At 40.5% G+C, this 22,491-nt stretch overlaps 1 annotated feature.

The window, feature by feature from the left end:
- Positions 1,270 to 1,379: an enhancer, noted in NCBI's record as "active region_22627". NCBI's record gives its function as "activates an Ori minimal core promoter by ATAC-STARR-seq in GM12878 lymphoblastoid cells {active_cell/tissue: GM12878}" and the evidence as "EXISTENCE:reporter gene assay evidence [ECO:0000049][PMID:35858748]".

Here is a 22,491-nt window from a genome sequence, read left to right on the forward strand (position 1 = left end):
TTGGGCAGACCCCCACAGATCAGCATCCTTTCCAGACCCAGACCCACGTTTTTTCTCTTTAATTAGCAGGATGACAAAGGCAATGGGAGCTAAGAGACGATTCCAGGAATTAGCCGGGCATGGTAGTGCCTGCATATAGTCCCAACTTCTTGGGAGGCTAAGATGAGAGGATTGCTGGAGCTAAGGAGTTTGGGGCTGCAGTGAAACTAGGATTGAGCTACTGCACTCCTGCCTGCGCAATAGAGTGAGATCGTGTCTCCAAAAAAAAAAAAAAAAAAAAAAAAAGAAGTGGATTTCTTCTCAGGCAACCCTTCCTAAACCCCTTTACCCATAAGCTTTTCCAAAGTCAAGAATAGGAACAAGGGATGTATAAGGCTAGGCACAATGGCTCATGCCTGTAATCCCAACAGTTTGGGAGGCCAAGACAGGAGGATAGCTTGAGCCCAGGAGTTCAAGACCAGGGCAACAAAGAGAGACCCCATCTACATAAAAAATAATAAAATGAAAGAGGGAGAGAGAAAAAAAATAGACATATATGTTAACTATAGGACGAGACCCTGTCTTTACTCTTCCTCTGTTTGCCCATCTCTGGGACCCATTCTCAGACCTGGCGTTCCTTGTTTTCTTCCTCTTGAAGTAAGGAGAGTTTGTGCAAATTTACTGGAAGTTAGTCATGCCTTTGTATTCCTACTTCCACAACTCAGCGTGGTCCTCCAGCTTCCACAAACAAATGGCCCACTCTCAGCCAAACAGACCACATACCTTCAGAAGAGAGTGACCCTAAGAGGCAGCAAGAGCTGGAGATGATGTCTGAGAGCCATGCACTTGAAAGCCGGCAGTGTCCTGGCCGTGGCTGGCTGAGCTGGTGTCCTCACCACAGTCTCCCTGCAACATGGTCTTGAGAGATCCTCTGCTCCTAGTCTCCTGCAGTCCAGCTCATCTTCACCCTTTTTTTTTCCTAGCCTTCCCACCCACTTTGTGAGATCTCTGGTTGTTGAGATCTCTGGTATCCTTCTAGTCATCAGCTTGTCCACTTTTGTTCACTGAAATTGGCTTCTGCAGTTTGTAACCAGGAGCCCTAACCGACACCACTGCTGTTTTTAAGAATCAGGGTTGTAAAAGAAAGAAAAAAGAAATCCCAATTGTTTAGAATGGGTCATACCCTCTGAGGGGGCTGAAGACATCTGTGCTGGCTTCCTATAAAAAGTACCTGTGGCCTGGCACAGTGGCTCATGCCTATAATCCCAGCACTTTGGGAGGCTGAGGTGGGTGGATCACCTGAGGTCAGGAGATCGAGATCAGCCTGGCCAATATGGTAAAACCTCTCCTCTACTAAAAATACAAAAATTAGCCGGGCGTGGTGGCACATGCTTGTAATCCCGGCTACACAGGAGGCTGAGGCAGGAGAATCGCTTGAACAAAGGAGGCAGAGGTTGTAGTGAGCCGAGATTGTGCCACTGCACTCCAGCCTGGGCGACAGAGCCAGACTCTGTCACAAAAAAAAGTACCTGTAACTCTGCCCAGTAGAGCATCTTGGGCTCAGTGCTCTGTGCAAATACGCTTGTCTCACACCTCTGCCCGGCCACCGCAGCCTCTCAGGACTCCCCCACGGGACTGAGCTGTCTTCAACTGGTGGTAAGAGAGAGGAAAGGCATTTTTAAAGTGGAAGGAACTTGACTGACCACACCCTCCTGAGCCTTTTTGCTCCCCTCCCGTCCCCTCAGTGGTCACTACCATACCCAAAATGTGTTTAGAATCAGAAGTAAAATGTTATCAGTAAAAAAAAAAAAAAAAAAAAAAATCTGTTTTGTTCATTTCTATCATCCCTTCTTCAGGGCAAAAACACATAGAAGTTACAAGTAAGGGTTGTTAAAAATAGAGACCTGGATTCAAATTCCAGCTCCACCATTCACTTGTTCCCTTAAACTCTTTGGGCCTCAATTTCTCCATCAATAAAATGAATATAAAAATGATGTCTGCCTCATAAGTGTTGTGAGAATCAAGAGTCCCATGTAAAGCATTCAGAGCTGTGACGGATACATTAAGTGCTCATTAAATGTTAATTACTGCTATTATTATTGTATTATTTCAATCTCGTCATAGTGCTTGCTGCATAGCATTTTTTCCAAGGTGGGGCGAGGTTATATGAGTGGGAAAATAATCAGCTGATTCTTTTTAAATGCAAAGGAAATGCATGTTTTTAACATCACAATAGGATTTCACTTCATCAGAAGCCCCAAGCAGAACATAACTAACTGTTTGAGGAAGTGGTGTGGGTAATTATAACTCAGTCTCATTGACAACATGAAGCGAGGCCTCCGTTTTAAAGGGCTCACTTGGCATTTCATATGGCTGCCTGCTGCCCCTCTGTTCCAAGTTCACTTTAATCTGCCATTTTGGACCCAAATAGAGATCACTGACACATTCAAATAGACACGCCTTTCTGTTTTAAACAGATTTTAGTGCATTTTGGTACAAGCAAAAAAGTTTCACAAATAATGTGATTTCTAGAACTTCAGGCTAGTGAACCAACATCTGCTGAGTAATCACATGACCTCAGGCCAGGGAACTCTGTAGGCCACTGCAAAAAGTAACTTAAAAATGAAATTTGGCCAGGCGCGGTGGCTCATGCCTGTAATCCCAGAACTTTAGAAGGCCAAGGCAGGTGGACCACCTGAGGTCAAGAGTTCGAGACCAGCCTGAACAACATGGTGAAACCCTGTCTCTACTAAAAATACAAAAATTAGCCAGGGTTCCCTAATCCCAGCTACTTTGGAGGCTGAGGCAGGAGAATTGCTTGAACCTGGGAGGCGGATGTTGCAGTGAGCCAAAATTGTGCCATTGCACTCCAGCCTGGGCAACAGGAGTGAAACTCCGTCTCAAAAAAAAAAAAAAAGTGAAATTTTTTTCACGCTTATAATCCCAGCACTTTGGGAGGCTGAGACATGAGGATCACTGGAGCCCAGGAATTCGAGACCAGCAAAATAGAAAATAAAAAAATTAGCCAGGTGTGATTGTGCATGCCTGTGGTCCCAGCTACTTGAGAGGCTGAGATGGGAGGATGACCTGAGCCTGGGAGGTCAAGGAGGCAGTGAGCTGTGGTCTTGCCACTGTACTCCAGCCTGGACAACAGAGTGAGACCCTTCTCAAAAAAAAAAACATCGAATTTTTTTCTAGAAAGAACATTAGACTGCCTGGCTCCTTTTTGCCATTGGAATAATGTCACATAATTAGTTCACCACTCTGGAGTGAAGGCTTCCTCTCTTGAGAATATGAACCTGCAGTCACAGCCCTGCTGTGGCCAGGGAAACATGTGGCCTTGTGTGTGCCACGGGGATTATACATGGGTTCCCTGGAAGATTTCCCCTGTGAACAAAAGCAGAGACCCACCAAGAGGACAAAGAAATTAGATTCATGACCCACAAAAGGGGAGACTGAGCCTGAGAAGTGTGTGTAAACAGTGATGCCATATAAATGGAAAGAAAGGTCAGGTGCCAGGAAGGCCAGAAAGAGTCCAGGGCAAGAAAGAGAAGGGGGTTACACTGCCAGGGTTTGGATCCTGGCTTCAATACTTACAAGCTGTGTGATTTCAAGCAAGTTAGTTGAATTATCTGTACTTCATTTTTCTCATCTGTGAAATGGAGATGAGTCTGTCTGCCACTTCTTCTAACCACCATGACCTCCAGAGAACAGTGGCTGCGGCTATTCTTCTGTCTCTAAAACCTCAACACCTTTTGGTGAACTCTCACCAGGAACATTTAGATGAGGATAATACAGTTCCTGCTAAACCAAACTGATAACCAATCGTTAGGGGCTGAATTGTGCTCCTCATCTTCCCAAATTCGTATGTTGAAGTCCTAACCCCCAGTACCTCAGAATGTGACTATATTTGAAGATCTGCAAAGAGCTAATTAAGGTTGGATGAGGTTCACAGGGTGGGCCCTAATCCAATATGATTGGTATCCTTAAATGAAGAGTTGATTAGGGCACAGATAGGCAGCTCTGTCTCACAGTGCTATTGTGTGGATTAAACTTGTTAATATACATAACAAGTTTGTCCAGCCCGCAGCCTGTGGGCCACATGTGGCCCATGATGGCTCTGAATGTGGCCCAACACAAATTTATAAACTTTCTTAAAACATTATGATATTTTTTGTGATTTTTTTTTTTTTTTTAGCTCCTCAGTTATCATTGGTGTCAGTGTATTTTGTATGTGGCCCAAGACAATTCTTTTTCTTCCAGGGTGGCCCAGGGAAGCCAAAAGATTGGACATCCCTGATATATAAAGTGCTCAGAACATTGCCTAGCACATAGTAACACTGTATGAGTGTTAGCTATGTTATCAACATTTGCGATGATTAACATATTGATGATGGGTCAACAGGTGCAGCTAACCACCATGACACACGTTTACCTATGCAACAAATCTGCATGTCCTGCATATGTATCCTGGAACTTTAAATTTAATTTAATTTAAAAAAATATTGAAATGCTTTGCAATGTACAAAGCAATATGTAAATGTAAGGCGTCGTGCTGGATTGATCAGTGTATGTGTTTGCTAAGGCTGCCCTAACAAAGTACCACAGACTGAGTGGCTTAAACAACAGAAGTGTATTTCCTCATAGTTCCGGAGACTGGAAATCTGAGATCAAGGTGTCAGTATGGCTGATATCTTCTAGGATATCTCTCTCCTTGGCTTGTAGATGACCGTCTTTCAATGTCTCTTCACATGGTCTTTCCTCTGTGCCTGTCTCTGCCCTAACCAACTCTTCATTTAAGGATACCAATCATATTGGATTAGGGCCCACCCTGTGAACCTCATCCAACCTTAATTAGCTCTTTGCAGATCCTGTCTTCAAATATAGTCACATTCTGAGGTACTGGGGGTTAGGACTTCAACATATGAATTTGGGAAGATGAGGAGCACAATTCAGCCCCTAACGATTGGTTATCAGTTTGGTTTAGCAGGAACTGTATTACCTTCATCTAAATGTTCCTGGTGAGAGTTCACCAAAAGGTGTTGAGATTTTAGAGGCAGAAGAACAGCTGCAGCCACTGTTCTTTGGAGGTCATGGTGGTTAGTAGAAGTGGCAGATAGACTCAAAGATGTCAGGCAGATCCAGATTCTCCTGGCTCTTCTTTGCTCCCCAGCCCTTCTTCCAGATTCCTGACCCCATTGACCAGCAGTGGCCCTAAGCCAATCACCAGACATTAGGCTGAGAACTCACAGACGTTTCCTATACCCCTCACCATAGCACTTCAGTGGCTGGATGTGCCTGGCTCTTAGGATTGACCAGCAGCAGCTGCCCTTCACCTCCCACAGCTGCACAAAATCTAGCCAGGAGGTACATCTCTTATCCTATAACACTCAGAGTGACTCTGCTCCCATCATTGGACCTGGATTCTAGCTAGCTAGAATAATATTTAATAATAATGTTATTATTATTTTTTTAGACATGCTATCACTGAACCAGAAAGGAGTCTCTGCTTCACTGATAAGCATATATTTGAAGTTCTAATTATCTCAAGCAGGAGCTCATTCCAAAGTCCTCTGAATTTGTCCTCATGCTGCCATCTCTCCTGGCTCCAATATGTCCCACAAGCGGCTGCCAGATAAAATTTCTTGAATCACATTTATGTCATCTAGCAATGGTCAAGGGAAGTCCCAAGATGACAGCTGAGTAGCAGGCCTAGAGGGCAACACATTCAGACTAGAGCAAAACAACAAAGAAATGGAGGGTTCCCAGACAGTGGTGTCCAGGAAAAACAAAATGGAACAAATGCACCGAAAGTATGGGAAACATTAGAGGGTGGTTTACCATGCCATTGGGTCACCGCGGAAAAAAAAATAGTAATGAGGCATAGAAAATTATGCAATTTTTAAAGTCATTACAGTTGTCTTCCTTATCCATGGGGGATATGTTCTAAGACCCTCAGTAGATGCCTGAAACCACAAATAGTACAGAACCTGATTGCCATCAATCATAATACATTTCTGTTCATGTCTCGCACCCACAAACTTAATTCCTTTTCCATCTTAACTAAGCACTTATGCACTGTGGCCATAACTTTTGATGTTTCATGTGTGACAGCAAAACTAGCATGAGTTTCTTTTTCCTTCTTCACAATTTGATAGATAAAAGATTTGTTCTTACCTTAGATCTTAGCAACCTCAGCATATGATACATTTACTCTCCTTATTAAAACTTTCACATTTTTACTTGAAGGAAGCACTTCCTAGCTTGCTTTTCTTTGGCATATCTGTATTGCCAGCATTACAACTCTTTTTTTTTTTTTTTTTTTTAGATGGAGTCTTGCTTTGTTGCCCAGGCTGGAGTGCAGTGGCACAATTTCAGCTCATTGCACCCTCTGTCTCCTAGGTTTAAGCAATTCTCGTGCCTCAGCCTCCCAAGTAGCTGGAATTACAGGTGCATGCCACCATTCCCAGCTAGTTTTTGTGTTTTTAGTAGAGACGGGGTTTCACCATGGTGGCCAGGCTGGTCTCGAACTCCTGACCTCAGGTGATCCACCTGCCTCGGCCTCCCAAAGCAGCATCACAACTCTTGCACTTATGGCCATAGTCAAGTAAAATCAGATTTACCTGGATGCAAGCACTGGATACCATGACAGTGAATCTGATAGCTGAGCCGGCTACTAAGTGACTAATGGGCAGGGAATGTAGAAAGCATGGAGACGTTGGGCAAAGGAATGATTCACATCCAGCGCAGAACGGAGGGACATGGTTTGAGATTTCATCACACTACTCAGAAGGGCATGCAATTTAAAACACATGAGTTGTTATGCAACCATAAAAGAGAACAAGATCATGTTCTCTGCAGGAACATGGATGAAGCTGGAGGCCATTATCTTAGTAAACGAACACAGGAACAGAAAACCAAATACCACATGTTCTCACTTATAAGTGGGAGCTAAATGATAAGAACACATGGACACATGGGAAGAACAACAGACGCTAGGGCTTACCAGAGGTGGGAGGCTGGGAAGAGGGAGAGAATCGAGAAAAATAATAAATGGGTACTAGGCTATTGGTGACAAAACAGTCTATACAACGAACCCTCCTAACACAAGTTTACCTATATAGCAAACCTGTATATGTACCCCTGAACTTAAAATAAAAGTTAAATTTTTAAAAATGGCCAGAGGACATGAACAGACACTTCTCAAAAGAAGACATACAAGTGGCCAACAAACATATAAAAAATGCTCAACATCACTCATTGTCAGAGAAATGCAAATCAAAACCACAATGAGACACCATCTCACAACAGTAAGAATGACTGTTATTAAAAACTCAAAAACAACAGATGCTGGCAAGGCTGTGGAGAAAAAGGAATGCTCTTACACTGTAAGTGGGAATGCAAACTAATTCAGTGACTGTGGAAAGCAGTTTGGAGATTTCTCAATGAACTTAGAACTACCATTCCACCGGGCAATCCCACCACTGGGTGTATACCTAAAGGAAAATACTTTCTTCTATCAAAAAGACACATTCACCCACATGTTCATTGCAGCACTATTTACAATAGTGAAGACATGGAATCAACCTAGGTGCCCATTAACAGTGGATTGGATGAAGAAAATATGGTACATATACATCATGAAGTACTACACATCCATAAAAAGAATGAAATATGTCCTTTGCAACAACATGGATAGAACTGGAGTCCATTATCCTAAGTGAACTAACACAGGAACAAAAAAACAAATACTGCATTTTCTCACTTATAAGTGGGAGATAAACATTGAATACACATGGGAACAATAGACAGTGGAGACCACTAAGATGGTGGAGGGAGAGAAGGGGATGTCAGCTGAAGAACCACCTGTTGGGTATTATGCTTACTGCCTGGGTAATGGGATCACTGGGACCTCAAGCCTCAGTGTCATATATATGCCCATACAAGAAATCTGCACATGTACCCTTTAATCAATAATAACAGTTGAAATTATTTTTTAAATAAATAAAATGGTTGAGTTGTTTATTTCTGTAACTTTTCATTTAATACTTTCAGACCACATTGGACTGTGGATAACAGAAAGCAAAATCCCAGAGAGCAATGCCAAGACCAGCTAGGTCGGGAAGACCCTAACCCAGTGGCGCTAGAGGAATTAAAGACACACATAGAAATATGGAGGTGTGAAGTGGGAAATCGGGGGTCTCACAGCCTTCACAGCTGAGTGCCCCAAACAGAGATTTACCCAAGTATTTATTAACAGCAAACCAGTCATTAGCATTGTTTCTATAGATATTAAATTAACTAAAAGTATCCCTTTTAGTAAACGAAGGAATGGGCCAAATTAAAGGAATAGGTTGGGCTAGTTAACTGCAGCAGGAACGCACCCTTAAGGCATAAATCGCTCATGCTATTGTCTGTGGCTTAAGAATGCCTTTAAGCAGTTTTCCTCCCTGGGCAGGCCAGGTGTTCCTTGCCCTCATTCCCGTAAACTCACAACCTTCCAGCTTGGGCATTAGGGCCATTATGGACATATTACAGTGCTGCAGAGATTTTATTTATGGCCAGTCTTGGGGCCAGTTTATGGCCAGATTTTGGGGGGCTTGCTCCCAACAGAGCAAAATTGTGGATAATAGGGAACTACTGCATTAATTCCAGGACATACAGAAAATCGTACAGGAAAAAATATCATCAAATTACACTACTACACTCAAAGGTGAAGACTACTTGGCATAAGAGCATACAATGTCATGACTACTTACAGAATATTAAGTTGTGAAAAAGCACTGGAGAAAATGGGGAAGAGGCTGACCTAGCAGGGCAGAGGTCACAGAAGTGTGTTTCAGGCTGTAACAGGCAGCCTATGTGGACCACACCTTAAAGAAGGCAGACTGCAAATGGGTAGCTGAGAAGTGCAGCAGTAACTCGCAGGGCGTGTGGGACAAGGAAGATTTTGGGGAGATGCAGGAGAGAGGAAAGCTGAAAGCAGAAAAGCAGATAACCAAAGAGTATTTGAGAGGGCTAAGAGGATGGACTTAAAGCCCAAATGGAAGATCAGGGTTTCGATAGGAACAGGGATGTGTGTTTCATTACACCAGGTGGGAAAAAGATCCAGGCACAAGCAGGCTTGTGTGTCTGGGTTGAGAGGAGAATGATTTCCTTTCCTCTCATCTCCACCTCCACTTCCTTAGATGTGAAGTCTCAATGCACTTTCTTAGAGCTGCCTCTTCTCCCTACTAATTGGGAAGGTCATAGAGGAGTAGAGAAAGCTTAGGTTGATGATGGGGAGATCGTAAACCAAGGCAGAGATGAACCAACTCATTGGAGTCACACGGCTAATTAGTGACAAAGCTAGGACTAGAATCAAACTGGCTCCTAGCCTAGTACTCTTTCACTACCAAATTACCGTGTAATATTTAACAGATGGGAGTGATTAAGGTTTAGAGCCATTACAAAGACTAACACAAGCCGAGTTACATTAAATAAGGAATCAAGCAGAAATACAGCTGAGATATTTAAACTTCACTTCACAGGAAGGGGTAATTTTACCCACTGTGAGACCATGATTAGATCAGGGTGGGTTGAACTGAACTGTAAACTTTTTCAAGGCACTGCCTTTGCTGTTCTCTAATCCAGAGGGACTGGGAGAAGCCCTCGCTGTACTAGGTGGCACTCAGGGGATAGGATAGAGATAAATGTCAGCCAATAGTATTTACCAGTAAATTTACCCAAATTAACTGTTTAAATTACACAGATCCTCTGGCAATCTTTGCCCTACTCAATTCAGAAGCATGCGTTAAATACGCCGAAATGTACAAAGTACCTAAAAATAACAGGTATTGTTCCACCTCCGTGCATGTGGGGTCCCTGGCATTTGTAACTTCAATGAGAAGAGGTTTTTCTTCAAAATATACTTTCCATAAACTTCTCTGTCATGCCATTCATGTGGCTCTTGTTTCATTTGCAGCAAAAGTCTTTCATTGCTGTGTATTTGAATTTCCAGCGTATCTTGGACCTTGGTGTTTATTTTGATTGACATTTAGTTATCTGTCATGCAAGTATTATTTTTCCCTCAACATCACCGAGTGTGATATATGTGTGATATATGTTTCATTACAAATGCTGGCATTGGTCAGGTAGGTTGGTTTTGCTGTTACATAACTTTGAGGGTGAGGGGCAATTTGTTAATGCCCACATTGACAAGTTACCATCAGATTATGCTAATTTGCAGTACCCTTTGCAATTAAAATCCTTCTGGCTGAATATTTAGCATTTATAATTAATGTAATTTTTAAACACTCAACCAATGTTCACCTTTTCCACTAAGGCTGAACTCCAGTGCCCTGCCCTATAGCCCAGGACAGAATTCCTGGGCCAGGGGAAATCTGGAAGAACTCCACGGGATTCCAGATTGCCCAGGCATCAGAGGGAAAATACTCATCCTATCGAGAGGTATTCTATTAGATTACTACTCTTACTAAATTCTCATTACCTTACCTCAGACTAGATCAATATAATTATATGTCCAGGTCTCACTCTCACCTCACAGAAAGGCTCTGGAGCATCTAGGGACAAATAATACAGCAGATACCAGACAGAGTACCATTCCCCACCCACTTCACCAGGATGGCGTGTAACATAACTTCCAGTGGGGAAGTGATAAGCTTATAAATGCAGAAGCCTTCTCTGGTCAACCTATACCAAGAAAATGCCATCCGTATCTTTCCTTGTTATTCTGTGTCTCAACATCCTATGCATTGTCTTCATTTCACTCATCATGATCGTTTGAATTTCTGTTTTACTTGTTTATTATCTATCTTCTCCACTACAATGTAGTATTCCTAAGAGCAGAAGCCATGACCATCTTGTTTCCTGTGGAATCCCCAAGTGCCAGGAACAATGCCTGCTGCAAAGTAGGTACTAGATAAATATTAATTGGTTGGATGGAAGGTTAGATGGATGAATAGAAGTAATATGCTCCCTTCTCCCACAGTGAGAGTAAGATGGGGCCCAGTGAGCCCCCTGTTTAAAAGGAATCCCAGTTCTGGATAACTAGGTGGGTCTCAGGTGAGTGTAGCAGAAAATATGACAATTGCTAACTCTTTTGATCCAACTGACACTTAAACTTGAAAGAAAGGTAACAAAACCAGATGGAGAGTTGAGGGGAAACCTGACACTACAGGGAAGAAAGAAAACTTTGTTATAGAAAACTACCATTGTCATGTCTTGGAAACCTAAGTGAAACACAAAGGTGAATTAGACAAGAGATTAGGAGATATTTAACAAATACATATTGATTGACTAGTTAGCTGACAAAACAAACAAACAAACAAAAGGTAGACATACAAATTAGATTCTAACCTGTTAGGGTGGAGTCTTCTGTACTCTTGAGGAGGATCTACCCTTGGCGTGAAGCAGGGGAGAGTCCTCTTTAGGGTCCACTCCTCTGCCGCCTACTCCCGACACACACAGTCCTGTCCATATCCAGCAGGTTCATATTGACTTCCTGCTAATCCCGCCACCCAAAGGCTGCTTTCTCCATCAGTCTGCCCACATTGTAATGTATTCCAAGAATTTGGCTTTTCTTTACCCTATCAAAAATATTTGCCCTGGATTTTCTCCATTCAAAATTCTGATGATAAATAGTTAACTGAAAACCCCTCAAGAGTGGTCATTTCCATCAGGGAAAAAAAAAATCATAATTTTTTTCAACTTAAAAATAATAATTTATTGACCTCATCTCGCCTCTTGACACAGCTCCATCTGCTTCCCATTTCTCTGCTCCTCTTTACAATAAAACTCATTAAACTGTGGTCTACACTTGCCATTTTCAACTTTTCCCCTCTTATTATCTCTTGAATCGACTCCAATAAGAGTTTTGTCTCAACCATTTCACCAAAACGTCTTTCATCAAAGCCACCAATAGCTTCCAAGTTGCTAAATCCAGCAGCTATTTTCAGTCCTCAATTTCCCTAACCTCTCAGTGGCATTTGACACAGTAGAGTTCCCTCATCCTTGAGATGCTTTCTTCTCTGGCCTTCCAGGACATGCCTTGTCCTAGCTTCCTTCTGGTTCACTGGTCACTCCTTCTCAGACTCCTTTGCTGATCTCATCAACCTGATCTCTCAACTCAGTCCTTGGTCCTTTTCTCTTCTTATCTGCTCTCACTTTCTCAGTGATCTCTTCTAACCTCAGGGCTTTAATGGCCATTTACAAGCTGAGGAAGTTACATTTCCAGCCTGGATTGCACTCCTGAACTCCAGATCCGTAGATCCCACTGCCTAACTGAATCTTCTGCTCAGATACCTAGATCTGCAGATTTTCCTCCCAAATCTGCTGTTTTCACAGTATTCCCCACATGAATAATGGTAATTTCACTCTTCCAGATGTTCAGACTCAAAAACCTCAATGTTGCCCTTGGTTGCTTTTTTTTTTTTTCCCTCTCATATCCCACAACCAAACACCAGTAAATTCTTTAGACTATGTTTTTCAAAATATATCCAAAATTTAGATCCACCTCTTTGGTTCCAACCTGTTCAAAGTCATCAATACCTCTCACCCCGATTAGAACAGAGATTTTCCAATGAGTCCTCCTGCCTCTGTCCTTGCCACCTACGGTCTATTCTCAACACAGCAGCTACGGGATCCTTGCAAGAGAAGGTCAGATGACATCACTCCCCTTTTCAGAACCTTCCTATGGTCTCATATCTCACCCAGAACAAAAGTCAGAGTCCTTACAATAGCCTGCCCAACCTATACAACCTGGAACCTGTTGTCTCTCTGCTCATCTCACACTGTTTTTCTCATCATCACTTTGCTAGCCATCTGGGCTTCTTGGTATTCCTCAATCACGCCAGGCATATTCCCACAGCCTTAGCACCTACTGTTCTGCTCTCTTGCTGCTCTTCTCCCAGACTGCCTTGAGGCTTCCTCCTGTATCTCCTTCAGGGCTTTACTCAAATTTCATCTTCTTAGCTGAGGCCCTCTCTGTCTACTCTATTTCAAATCACAATGTCTCCTCTCCTACCACCTCTCATTCTTCCCCTCTGCTCTATTTTTTTCCCCACAGAACTTATTACCATCTATTTTATAATTTTTCTTATATTGTCTGTCTTCCCACATTATAGCGTAGGCTCCATTAGGACAGAAGTTTCATCTTGTTTGTTCATTGTTTTATCCCCAGTGCCTAAAACAATGGTAAGCAATCAATACATCAATACATATTTGTTGAAGCAATGGAAAAGCCATTCTGCCCCAATGCGTTAATAATTTCTAGAATTCTAATGGGAACAGCCTAGACTCAATTCATTCCCCCAAACACAGTTGTGTAACCCAAAGGAGTAACACAAATGAAGGGATATCAGACCACATAGAATGAGCCCATAGCACCAAACAGCCTAGTAAAGAGATATGTTAGGGTGGCTGGGCTCTTGTGGTACCCCTCAAATTATACTGCATTGTTGACTGCTATGTGAGCATGTAAGCCACATGCTCAATATGAGTCACAAGAGTGGTATGGCTGCCAAAAAAAATAAATACAATTGTTGACTACATTAATGGTGATATGTTTCAATGGGTATCATACTTCCATTGTTTTCTGGTCTAGTCATACCACATTGGGAGTGCTGTGTTCAACTTTGGGAGTTATTTTTCAAGAGGAATATTGTTCAGGAAAATCAAAGAGAATATCCATGATATATGAAAATAAAACAATTGAGTGACCAAAGGTACTCGGGGATTACATTACACTTAAGGATGGTCTAAAAAGGTACACCATCCTGCCACCACTCTCCTCCTCTGTCCGTGGAAGACATTAATAATCAATCATTATTCTCTTCCTGTAGTGTTTGGCCAGCTCATAGCCCTCCAGGCAACCACTATGCACTCTATTGGATTGGACAACTAAGATGAAATTTATTAGTTATTCCAGCTTTAAGGCAGGTATAATTTTCTCATTAAAATATTTTGATGTGGCCAGGCACAGTAGCTCACACCTGTAATACCAGCACTTTGGGAAGCCGAGGTGGGCAGATCATTTGAGGCCAGGGGTTCAAGAGCAGCCTGGCCAATATGGCAAAACCCTGTCTCCACTAAAACTACAAAAATTTTCTGGGCGTGGTGGTGGGCACCCGTAATCTCAGCTACTCAGGAGGCTGAGGCAGGAAAATCACTTTAACCTGGGAGGCAGAGGTTGCAGTGAGCCGAGATGGCACCACTGCACTCCAGCCTGGGCAACAAAGCAAGACTCTGTCTCAAAACTAAATAAATAAATAAATACATAAATAAGAAATATTTGAATCCATATGCTATGGGAAAAAAAAACTAAACAAACTAGTCCCATCTGGTTCTAGAGCGTAAAACTAGAACCTCTGAGTAGTAAAAATTCAGGATCAAGAAGAATATTCTAATGGTAATAACTGTCCAAAGTGAGGTATTGAAAGGTAGGAAGTCTGGAAGACCACCTGCCAAGGAATAGTGGATGAAATCTCCTATCTTAGGTGGGAGATTGGACTGGATAACCTCTAAACTTCATCCAGCCCTAAAATTCTTCAGATCTTTTCCTACTTGGCTCTGCTAGGCAGGGCCAGGGTGTTTTCCTACTTGGATCTGCTAGGCAGGGGAGGTGGCTGGCAAAGAAAGTCTGCAAAGCAAAACCATTCACCTTTAAATTTCAGTTATCTCACTGAAGAAGATAACAGAAAAACAGAATAAAAGAGATGATGGATTCAGCACAAAGAGATAAAGTGATTATATCTAAGTTGAATAACAATAGAAACAAAAATCTTTTTGTTAGCTTTTGGATACTCTCGTCTCCCATTTATCTTAGTTCTTCCTTATTCTCACATTCTTTAACCTCGTGCCCTAATCTTTTTGGTGAGAAGCCAATTAACTCTGTAAAAACTCTGGCAGCTGGTGCCAGAAGCGTGGCTCACTGTGTTCCAAGACTTGGTAATTCCTTCCCTAATGACATAGTAGAAACACTGTCGCCACAGTTAAGAGCAGGCTAGAGACAATTACTATATTTAAGCTGTGCTTTGCAGGTTATCATACCCACATCTGCAAGCTATTCCCTTTGTAAGGCATTTGGCATCATTTGCCACAGAAAACTCATTGCAAAGGGCCAGCAAGCAACTACAGGAGGACCAAGGACTGAGACTTATTCCATATGGCTAGCAAGAGAGAGACGTATAACTTTCTTTCAGCAACTCCAAACCCACTCCTGCTTCCTGGAGCCAGGCTCCTCTTATCAAAACAGGAAATCTACAAAGAGGGGTCCACAGAAGGGCTGGTGAGGAACAAATGCTCTAGCAGCCACCCACCCACTGGTCTGTGAAGGGACAGAGACCAATCCAGCAAGCTGGGCAGCTGGAAGGTTACTTGCTGAACAATCTCCCTGAAAGCACAGGACTCCTGCACAGGATGGCATTATCTAAAAGAAATCACAGGACTTGCTGGGTCCTTCTGAATACTGAACTGCTAACATTCATGTCATGGAGCAATTCATGGCCTGGAGTTCACAGCTGCTCTGGGCCTTGGCCCCTTCATCTTTAAAATGGGGATATCAGTGCTTAAACTTCACTGCTCTGGGGGGAATGGAAAGATTAAAGTAATAGATGTGAAAGCACTTTCAAAAGCATTTTAAGAATTATCCAAATGTCAGTATTGTTCTTATGAGTATTAGTATTATTTTGAGCCTGTAATGATAATTACCTATAAGATTTCATATAGTGATGATTATCCTAAACCCAAGATGAAATCAAGGCCAGTGTCACTCTAATGCTTTTGCATAGGACCTTTGACTGAGTTCATCTTTTCTGAGTTCATACCTTTCTATGTTTTTCTAGAATTTTCAGTCCTTCAGTTGGTTAATTCTTTCAGTCATCACCCAAATATTGAATCAGTTATCTTTTGAAAGAGTGTGTCAGTTATTCAGGACAGGTGCTTAGGCAAAGGCCTCTTACATAGAAAAATCGCACTTCTATCTGCTGACCACCAGGACTCCCACTTAAAATTTCACCCCATCTTACCCCTTGTCTCACCTCATCCCCATCCTCCTTTCCCAGTAAGTTAGACCTAATTAAATGTACCCATGTTTTGTCACTCCTACCAAACAGATGAGTCTGCAAGATACATAGATACCTCCATTTTTCAATTGACTATTCTAGTAGCTTATTGAAAAAATATGTCTTTGTTTTCATTTGCATCCATCTGCACAAATTTTAATTTTACCCCAGAGGTAGATAGAATAAGATAAAAAGTTAAACTATTTAACAAGTACTCAGAGACAAACAGGGAGCCAGTACGTAGGACAGGGAAAAGAAGTGAGAAAGCAGGATTGAACCACTGGTTAAAAGGATGTTTATAGATATCATTTAGTATAACATTGATGCCGCCAATTACCATGTGTGTATTGGCTAAATCTGTGTCAAGGGAACTGTTTTCAGATATTTTCCAGGATTTCCCAAATAAAATAAATTAACTATTCTAGAACATAATTGGTTTTATGCCTGTGAGATATAATCTTGCAATATTTATTGAATGTTAGGCTCTTTACTTTTTATGTTCACTATAGTCATGGAATTGTAAGAAACACCAAATAAAATTGAGCACTAACACATTTCCTAAAGTAGTTTAACAACCAAGAAATGACAAATTTCTGCATTATCTTCAGACACTTAGGCTAACCCTACTTTCATTTTATAGGACCAAATAGAATATATAATTCTAATTTGTGTTGCGTTGAATGTATTATAAGAACATATATATACTAATGTATTTTATTATAAAAAATTGGAAGAGAAAAAAATGAGTCAGACACAGCAAGTAGACAAATTTACAACATCTCATCCATCACTTTAAACCTCCTTATTTTGCTTCCTATTACAAGCATGGTTGGTGTGGGACTTGATATGACAATGTAAGGTTATGACAAATGTATCTTCATATATGTATCTCACATTGATTATTCTAAATATTAAATAAATCACACAGCATTAACAAAGAAAGGACAAAACCTTTGAAGATACAGAATGAGACACATATGTATAAAAGAACTATGATTCCAGCAATCAGTCACTAAATATTTAGTTTCTTTTTCCTGGTTTTTTTCCACCCCTTCCAATCCCTCATTCAACTCTGCTCAGGATCTTAAAACTTACAGTAACTCTATAAATAGCTAGTCCCTAGGTCCATAGAAGTCCATAAAGGTGGTGATAAAGACTCATACACTATTTTCAGTATTTCAAAAATTCTAACAGACAGTATCTATTTGCTATAGATCTGAGTGGTAGTTATAGATGTTTTCTGTAAATAAAATATTTGAAACAAATAATTAACAAGTTCTCGTAAATGTTTCTAGGTAAATCTGTGAAAACATAGGATCCGTGTACATGGAAAATACTCCTAAAAAGAAAATACTCCTAAAGCACTCCTGCATTGGTGATGAAAGCTTTGGAAACCTCTGAAGTAGCAACTTCTTGAGAGTAAATTGTGGAGGAGATAAGAGACAAGAATTATTGCGGGCTGCTTTGACCTTTTGATACAAGGAATTCCTATCTTCCTGAGAGGGCTATTCATGTACTTCCTTAATTCTTTCTCACTCTCATCCAGGAGCAAACTCATTGGCAATAGCTATATAAATAAAATTATAATCTGCATATGGATACTCATGTACATTTTCAGAGGTAATCTAAAAAATGTGAAAATGAAAATGATCGTATCTTGTCTGATATAAAACATGAGCCCTTGGCATGTGGTGTGTAGAACATGCAGAAAATCTTGGAAATAAACTGTTACTGAAGTATGGCTCCTGAAGAGGAGTTCCTTTAAAAGAATCAGTTAAAAATTATGCATTCCTTATCATTTTTGAAGAATCCAGGGTTTTCTTTATAAAGGAAAGGATAGCATGCCATGGTACATGAGGGAAAAGTAAGAGTCAGGCCCTAAAAGAAAATCAAAGAAGCCACCAGTTCCGACTTCTAACTGGAGTCTAGGCTGGTTTCCTTGATCAACAATGAGTATCTATTCCTGATGTTAAAAGCCTATGTTTGTTTTATTCATTCATGTATTTATTCCTTTATCTATTCACTTATTTTTCTATTTATATAATATTCAGCAAATATTTTTGAGCACCAATCATGTACCAATATAAGTTGCAGAACTATAAAGATGAATATATTATGATCCATACCACCAAAGAGCTTACAGTATAACAAAGAATGCGGTAAAATAAGTATCACTGAACAAGTGTCTATTGAACACCTGCTAGGCACCAATGTTCTAGGTGCTAGGACACAGCAGATCAGAGCAGACACTAATCCCAGCTCTTGCACAGCTTATTTTGTAGTGCAAAGCTTGCTATGATAAAGATATAGCCACGCTGCTACAGGAGTAAGAGGTTGCGCTAACTAATCCAGATTTGGAGTCTGGAACTAGAGTAGATTCAAATTTGTAATATCAATTCCTCCTAAGGCACAACAATCCCTCCCTCCTACTCCAGCCACAGCATAAAGCCTCAACCTGTTGAGATATCATTGGACACTTTTAGAAAAGTAAGTTATAGTGAATAAAAAATAGGTGTTATACATTTACAACATGTTTTGAAGTCTTTGATAAGGTTAGGTCCAGGAATCACTGTCTGCAGCTGTTATCTCAACACAAACTATTTAATCCATCCAACTGAATGTGACCTTTCCACAACTTTTTAGAAATCTAGAAATATGAAAATGTATTTGTTCTCACCATTCTTATCTTCCTGGAGGACAGAGTTGGTCTCAGCTGTATTATCAGGCTTCAGTTTCCCATAAAACAAGGGGTATTGGGAGGATCATGGTTGTGATTCTTCCAAGGTCATACTTCTTGAGTTTTTCATAGATTATGCATAATCTAACATGATATTGTTTATATGTCCAAAAATTTATATTTACACTTTTATATAGGTATGCATGTAAATTAATTCAATATTTGAGAGCTACACATATCATATCATTAGCAGTGATTGGTTCTAGAGTGTAGAAATAAAATGGGAAAATGAAGTAGAGTATTTTAATTTTTAAATGATTACATAGTTATATGTTATTTGTATGATTTTTAAATGACTTTATTAAGGTATAATTGACATAGAAAAAGCTGTATATATAATATGTGTACAACTTGATAAGTTTGGAGATAAATATATGCCCATGAAACCATGATCACAATCTGTGCCATAACCTATCCATCATTTTCAGAAGTTTCCTTCCACTTTCTTAGTTTTTATCATTGTTGTGATAAAAACACTTAACATAAAGTATACCTTCTTTAACAATTTTATGTATAAAATACCATATTGTTGGCTGGGCACAGTGGCTCACACCTGTAATCTCAGCACTTTGGGAGTCCAAGGTGGGAGGATAGCTTGAATCCAGGAGTTTGAGACCAGCCTGGACAATATAGCAAGACTCCATCTCTATTTATAATATATTAAATATGTAAAAAAATAAGAATGCAGTATTGTTAACTATGCTGTACTGTAGATCTCTATGACCAAGCTCACCTACAAATAACCCTTTTTTTAAATAATGTAACAAAATAATCCTAATTCCTTCCTCTCATCCCTTGTATCATTGCTTCACTTATTTTAGTTATATATACACATACATATGCATATATGCACACAGAAGATATACATAAGCATACAGAATCACATGCATTGTTGCTGTTATTATTATTTTGAACAGGTATCTGTTAGATCAATTAAAGGTAAGAAAAATAAAGTTTTTATTTATTTATTTATTCATTCACTCATATATTTATTTATTTATTGAGATGGAGCTTCGCTCTTCTTGCCCAGGTTGGAGTGCAGTGGCGCGATCTCAGCTCACCACAACCTCCACCTCCCAGGTTCAAGCGATTCTCCTGCCTCAGCCTCCCGAGTAGCTGGGACTCCAGGCATGCACCACCACACCGGGATAATTTTGTATTTTCAGTAGAGACAGGGTTTCTCTATGTTGGTCGGGCTGGTCTCCAACTCCCAACCTCAGGTGATCCACCTGCCTCGGCCTCCCAAATAAAGTTTTTATTTTACCTTCAACTATATCTTCTTCAATGCTCTTCCTTTTTTTGTGTAGATCCAAGTTGCAGACTTATATTATATTCCTTCTCTCTGAAGAATTTCTTTTAACATTTCTTGCAAGGCACGTTTACCGGGAACAAATTCCCTCAACAAATTCCCGTTTTGTACGAGAAATTTTGTTTTGTTTGGTTTTTTCACTTTTGAAGGACAGTTTTGCAGGGTGCAGAATTCTAGGTTGAGTTTTTTGTTTGCTTGTTTGTTTTTCTTTATGCTTTAAACATTTTACTCCACTCTCTTCTTGCACATCTGTTTTCTGAGCTGTCAGATGTAATTCTTTGCTTCCCCATAGGTCAGGGGATTTTTTTCCTCTGGCTTCTTTCAACCTTTACCTTGATTTAAGAATAATATACCTAGTGTCATTCTTCGGTTTTGTTTTTTGTTTTATCCTTTTGTGGGTATTTTTTGAACATTTATCTTGCTTGGTATTCTATGAGCTTCCTAGATTTGTGATTTGGTGTCTGACACTAATTTGGGGAAATTCTCAGTCATTATTGTTCCAAACATTCCTTCTATTGCTTTCTTCCCTTCTCTCTTCTGGTATTTCCTTCTCTCTTCTGGCAAATCCTCCTGGTACTTCCATTATGCATATGTCGCAACTTCTGTAGCAGTTCCATAGTTCTAGAATATTCTGTTCTGTTTCTTCTTAGTCTTTGTTCTTTCTGCTTTTCAGGAGGTTTCCATTGAAACATCCTTAAGCTCAGAGATTCTTTCCTTAGCCATGTCCAGGCATTCTTCATTTTATTACAGTGTTTTTTTGTTTGCTTGTTTGTTTTGTTTGTTTTGTTTTTGAGACAGAGTTTGCTCTTGTCACCAGGCTGGAGTGCAATGGCATGATCTCGGTTCACTGCAACCTCCACCTCCCGGGTTCAAGCAATTCTCCCTCTTCAGCCTCCCAAGTAGCTGGGATTACAGGCACCTGCCACCACACCCGGCTAATTTTTGTACTTTTAGTAGAGACAGGATTTTGCCATATTGGCCAGGCTGGACTCAAACTCCTAACCTCAGGTGATCCACCGCCTCCCAAAGTGCTGAGATTACAGACATGAGCCACTGCACCTGGCCATTACAGTTCTTTTTATCTCTAGTATTTATTGTTGGTTCTTTCTTCGGATTTACCTCTTTGCTTACATTGATGATATAGTTCAAATGTTGGTAGCTGCCAAAATTCATCTATTGTTACTTAGTACTCAGTGTGATAGTATTAAGAGCCTTTTGGCAAGTAACTAAGTAATGAGGACTGCACCCTCATGAGTAGATTAGTGCCCTTATAAAAGAGGCTAGAGGAACCTAGCAAGACAGGCCAACATTCAAATTCAGGAAATACAGAGAACACCACAAAGATACTCCTTGAGAAGACCAACCCCAAGACACATAATTGTCAGATTCACCAAGTTTGAAATGAAGGAAAAAATGGTAAGGCAGCCAGAGAGAAAGGTTGGGTTACCCACAAAGGGAAGCCCATCAGACTAACAGCAGATCTCTCCACAGAAACTCTACAAGCCAGAAGAGACTGGGGGCCAAGAGACAATGTTCTTAAAGAAAAGAATTTTCAATCCAGAATTTCATATCCAGCCAAACTAAGCCTCATAAGTGAAGGAGAAATAAAATGCTTTACAGACAAGCAAATGCTGAAAGACTTTGTCACCACCAGGCCTGCATTACAAGAGCTCCTGAAGGAAGCACTAAACATGGAAAGGAACAACTGGTACCAGCCACTGCAAAAACATGCCAAGTTGTAAAGACCATGGATGCTAGGAAGAAACTGCATCAACTAACGAGCAAAATAACCAGCTAACATCATAATGACAGGATCAAATTCGTACCTAACAATATTAACCTTAAATGTAAATGGGCTAAATCCTCCAATTAAAAGACACAGACTGGCAAACTGGATAAAGAGTCAAGACCCATCAGTGTGCTGTATTCAGGAGACCCATCTCATGTGCAGAGACACACATAGACTCAAAATAAAGGGAGGTAAGAAGATCTACCAAGCAAATGGAAAACAAAAAAAAGCAGGGGTTGCAATCCTAGTTTCTGATAAAACAGACTTTAAACCAACAAAGATCAAAAGAGACAAAGAAGGCCATTACATAATGGTAAAGGGATCAATTCAAAAAGAAGAGCTAACTATCTTAAATATATATGCACCCAATACAGGGGCACTCACATTCATAAAGCAAATCCTTAGAGACCTACAAAGAGACTTAGACTCACACACAATAATAATGGGAGACTTTAACACCCCACTGTCAACATTAGACAGATCAACGAGACAGAAAGTTAACAAGGATATCCAGGAATTGACTCAGCTCTGCACCAAGCAGAATTAATAGACATCTACAGAACTCTCCACCCCAAATCAACAGAATATACATTCTTCTCAGCACCACATCACACTT

The sequence above is a fragment of the Homo sapiens genome, chromosome 5, assembly GCF_000001405.40.
Source record: "Homo sapiens chromosome 5, GRCh38.p14 Primary Assembly".
NCBI classification, from domain to species: Eukaryota; Metazoa; Chordata; class Mammalia; order Primates; family Hominidae; genus Homo; species Homo sapiens.